Raw genomic sequence first — 4,649 nt, forward strand, 5'->3', positions numbered from 1 at the left:
ATGAACTCTCAATGCCCCATATCCACCCCCAGACCAGTAACACTGATCTTTGATCCTAGACATGAGACAGTATCTCCCTGCCGCTTAGATCTTAGGGAAGATTAGCTTGCACCCACTTCCTCCAAGAGCACCACCCACAAAGATGGATCTTTCCAATCTGCAAATATGATCATGACACCCATTGTTCATTTAGTGCCTATAATATATAAGACATAGGGCCAGGCGCAGTGTCTCATGCCTGTAATCCCAGCACTTTGGGAGGCCGAGGCAGGTGGATCACCTGAGGTCAGGAGTTCAAGACCAGCCTGGTCAACATGGTGAAACCCCGTCTCTACTAAACATACAAAAATTAGCCAAGTGTGGTGGTGGGCACCTGTAATCCCAGCTACTCACGAGGCTGAGGCAGGAGAATCACTTGCACCTGGGAGGCAGAGGTTGCAGTGAGCCGAGATAGCGCCATTGCACTCCAGCCTGGGCAATAAGAGTGAAACTTCTTCTCAAAAAAAAAAAATAATAATAAGATATTACATTATTTGCTTTCACAGATTCCCATTTGAACTTCTGTGAGGGAATTTTATGAAGGTCAGAACTTTTGTGGAATGTGCCCAAAGGTCACAGTGAGACTAAATGTCCAACTCCATACATGACTCCAAAGCTCTTGACTTCTGCGTGGCATTTCTAGGCATTTCCTGTGTTTTAGGCTTCACTGTTCCAGATTTGTCTGGGAACGGGGGTACATCATAGTCCCATTTTTCACACAAGTTTGCAAATATGGTCTGAGGATTACAGATTCTTATGCACATCATTTAGTGCTGGTGCTTTGTTCTAATTCTATGAAATTCTCTTAACATTTAGACAGGCATTGAGGGCCTGTTTGCTCTCTTTTAGTTTTCCTACTTTCTTGCCTGTCATTTATGTGTATCATCTGTCACCACAACATCCAGGTGGGTACATTTTTTGTGTACACAATCAAGCAGCAGTGTGCATTTTGTCTCTAACCAGCAATTAACTGTCTTCAGGACAATTCCAACAGCCATGAGTTTCTGCATTTATTATCACGCCTTTATTTCAGTGGTTCTGAATGTTTTCTCACAAATTGTTACAGCTTTTTTTTTTTTTTTTTTTTTTTTTTTTAAATACAGAGTCTCACTCTGTTGCCCAGGCTGGAGTGCAGTGGCATGATCTTAGCTCACTGCAACCTCCACCTCCCTGGTTCAAGCGATTCTCCTGCCTCAACCTTCTGAGTAGCTGAGATTACAGGGGTGCGCCACCACACCCAGCTAATTTTTGTATTTTTAATACAGATGGGGTTTCACCATGTTGGCCAGGCTGGTCTCAAACTCCTGACCTCAGGTGATCCACCCGCCTCGGCCTCCCAAATTGCTGGGATTACAGGCGTAAGCCACTGTGCCCGGCCCGTTACAGAATTCTTTGTAAAATAGATGGCAGACTAAAAAAACAAGTGGGGCCGGGCATGGTGGCTCATGCCTGTAATCTTGGCTCTTTGGGAGGCCAAGGTGGGCGGATCACCTGAGGTCAGGAATTCAAGAACAGCCTGGCCAACATGGCAAAACCCCATCTCTACTAAAGATACAAAAATTAGCCAGGCGTGGTGGTGCAAGCCTGTAGTCCCAGCTACTAGGGAGGCTGAGGCAGGAGAATTCCTTGAACCCAGGAGACGGAGATTGCAATGAGCCAAGATCATGCCACTGCACTCCAGCCTGGGTGACAGAGTGAGACTGTGTCTCAAAAATAAATAAATAAATAAATAAATAAATAAATCAAAATCAAGCAGATTTAGGTCAGAACAAGTTCAAGGCCTTCTATATTTTCCCTTTTGGAATGTTTCTCCTAATTTAAATACTATACATCTGATCCGGCCAGTTTACTGATCTGTAGGAAGGTATCTGAGGTTTAGTGAACATTAAATAGCTCTGGCTTAGTGTTGGCCGAGGCTGGGAGGTTATATTTCTATTAGAAATTTATCATGGCTGATAAATTTCATAAAATTGCATTGTTTTACAGTTGGGTAAATCTTGTTTGTGTGCAGGGAAGGATTGGTTTGGTTTCTGTTTTCTGAGTCTGTCTGACCTAAAGGACACACATCTTAAGTGTGTAGCTTGAACTTTTACATATGATTATTCCCCTACCACCATCATCCACATCATGATCTAGATCATTTCCAGCACCCAGGAAGCCTTCTTGTGTGCTTCTTCAATTCGTGGCAACCCCAGGTTAACCACTATTCCAACCTCTATTATCATAGACTAATTTTGCCTGTTGTTAAACCTCATAGACAGGCATAAGTAGACTGACACAGTGTGTCTTCTTTGGTATCTGACTTCTGTTATTCAATATTATGTCTGTGAGATTCAACCATGTTTTGAATTTTGGCTCATTCCTTTTTATCACTGTGTAGTATTCCCTTGTATGGATATACCAATTTACCTTGGGCACCATCTTGGGCATTTGAGTTGATTCCAGGTTTGTGCTATTATGATAAATCTGCTATGAACATTCTTAAAGATGTTTTTGGTAGGCACAAGCACTCAATTTTCCGGAATATTATCCAGGTGTGGAATTCTAAGTCAGGGCATATATATGCTTAGCTTTGGTAAGTATTGCCAAACATTTTTCTGGGGTGATTGAACTAGTTTACATTACTACCATTTATGTAGAAGTTTCATATGCTCCACATCCTTGCATATGTGATATTGTCATTCTTTTTAATTTTAGTCATTTCAGTAGGTGCTGTAGTGATGTCTTATTGTGGTTTTAATCTTCATTTCTCTGATAACTAATAAAGAGTATCTTTCCATTGGCTACTTTGATATCCTCTTTTGTGAAGTACCTATTTGTCTTTTGCTTTTTATTGGGCTATTTTTTCTTTAGATAGATAGATGATAGAGATAGATGACAGAAAGAAAGAAAGAAAGATAGATAGATAGATAGATAGATAGATAGATAGATAGATAGATAGGATTTTTTTTTTTGATGGAGTTTTGCTCTTTGCCCAGGCTGGAGTGAAGTGGCATGATCTTGGCTCACTATAACCTCCACCCCCCAGGTTCAAGTGATTCTCCTGCCTCAGCCTCCCAAATAGCTGGGATTATAGGTGCCCACACCACGCCCGGCTAATTTTTCGTATTTTTAGTAGAGACGGGGTTTCGCCATTTGGCCAGGCTGGTCTCGAACTCCTGACCTCAGGTTATCCACCCACCTCAGCTTCCCAAAGTGATAGGTGATAGGATTACAGGTGTGAGCCACCACACCCAGCCAGATAGGACCCTTTATATATTCCAGATTTCATTCCTTTATTGGAAATGTATCTATATTTGTATATATTTATGTATTTAAGTCTGTGTGTACATATGTGTGTGCATGTGTAGATACATACATACATAGAGAGAGGGAGGGAGGGACACAGAGAGAATGCGCAAATACCTTCTCCCAGTCTGTGGCCTGCCTCTCCGGCATCAGCCTCCTTTGTTCCTACACAGGCCCTTCTGTGCTGCCAAGGAAATTCACAGAGCCATGCAGACCAAAACCACAAAAATGTACAGTCTCCAGCCTCACTTGGGCCTTACAACATCTAATCATTCTCTAAAAAAACAAATGGGATAGTACATAAAATAAGGAAAAAAGGAAAGATCAATAATTCCAACCACAGAAGAATCACTATTGCCATTTTATTGTTTTTCCTTCCAGTTTTTCTTTTATAGAAAAGGCATTTGAGGTGACCTGCAAACTCAAATGTTTTCTACATAGTTGAGATTAAGACAAATACATAATTTTGTATCCTGATTTTTTCAAGCACATTGTAACACAAGTATTTTCCCATGTGATAAAGTTTTTATAAATATAAATTTTTAATAACTGGCTAATACTCCATTATGTGGGTACATCATAATTTATGTTTTATCATTTCTCTATTGCCTTCTTTTTAGTTTGAGGGTATTATACAAAATTATTTGACAAATATCTGTGTATGTAGTTTGTCTGCATTTATTTTGCCTATATTTATTTCCTTAGGAGACAGAGAGGAATTCCTGAGTAGATGCTATGAATGGGCTGAAGCATCTGACTGAGTCCCAGGTGGGAGGCTTCTAAGGCCCGAATGACACCACATTCTTTCCTGTGTCCCTGCACAGCTCACTTTGCCATTCCCCACAGCAAAACTAGCCCTAACTGCCCTCAGTCATTGTGTGTTCCTGGTCCCCACCGTGTCCTCCTCTGGATGGTTGTGATTCCTTCTACAGGAAACATTCAAGTTACCAGGTACAAGTTCACTAATAAGCTGACCTCAAAATGGGGAGAGTTTCCTGGATCATCTAAGTGGGCCCAAGGTAATCATTAGGGTGTTTCAGAGTGGAAGAGGGAGGCAGATGAGGACCAGAGAGACGATTGTGTGCAAAGGGCTCAGCTCAGCACTGCCGGCTCTGAGGGTGCAGGAGCCACAGGCCGAGGAATGCGGACAGCTTCTAAAAGCTCAACAAGGCAAGAGAATGGATTCTTCCCTTGCACCTCTAGAAGGAAAATGTGACCCTGCAGACACCTTTATTTTACCCCAGTGAGACCCCTATCAGGCTTCTGGCCTCTACAACTGTGAGGTAATTAATTTGTGTTGTCATAAGCCACTACATTTGTGG

This window comes from Homo sapiens, chromosome 2 (assembly GCF_000001405.40).
Source record: "Homo sapiens chromosome 2, GRCh38.p14 Primary Assembly".
Lineage (NCBI taxonomy): Eukaryota > Metazoa > Chordata > Mammalia > Primates > Hominidae > Homo > Homo sapiens.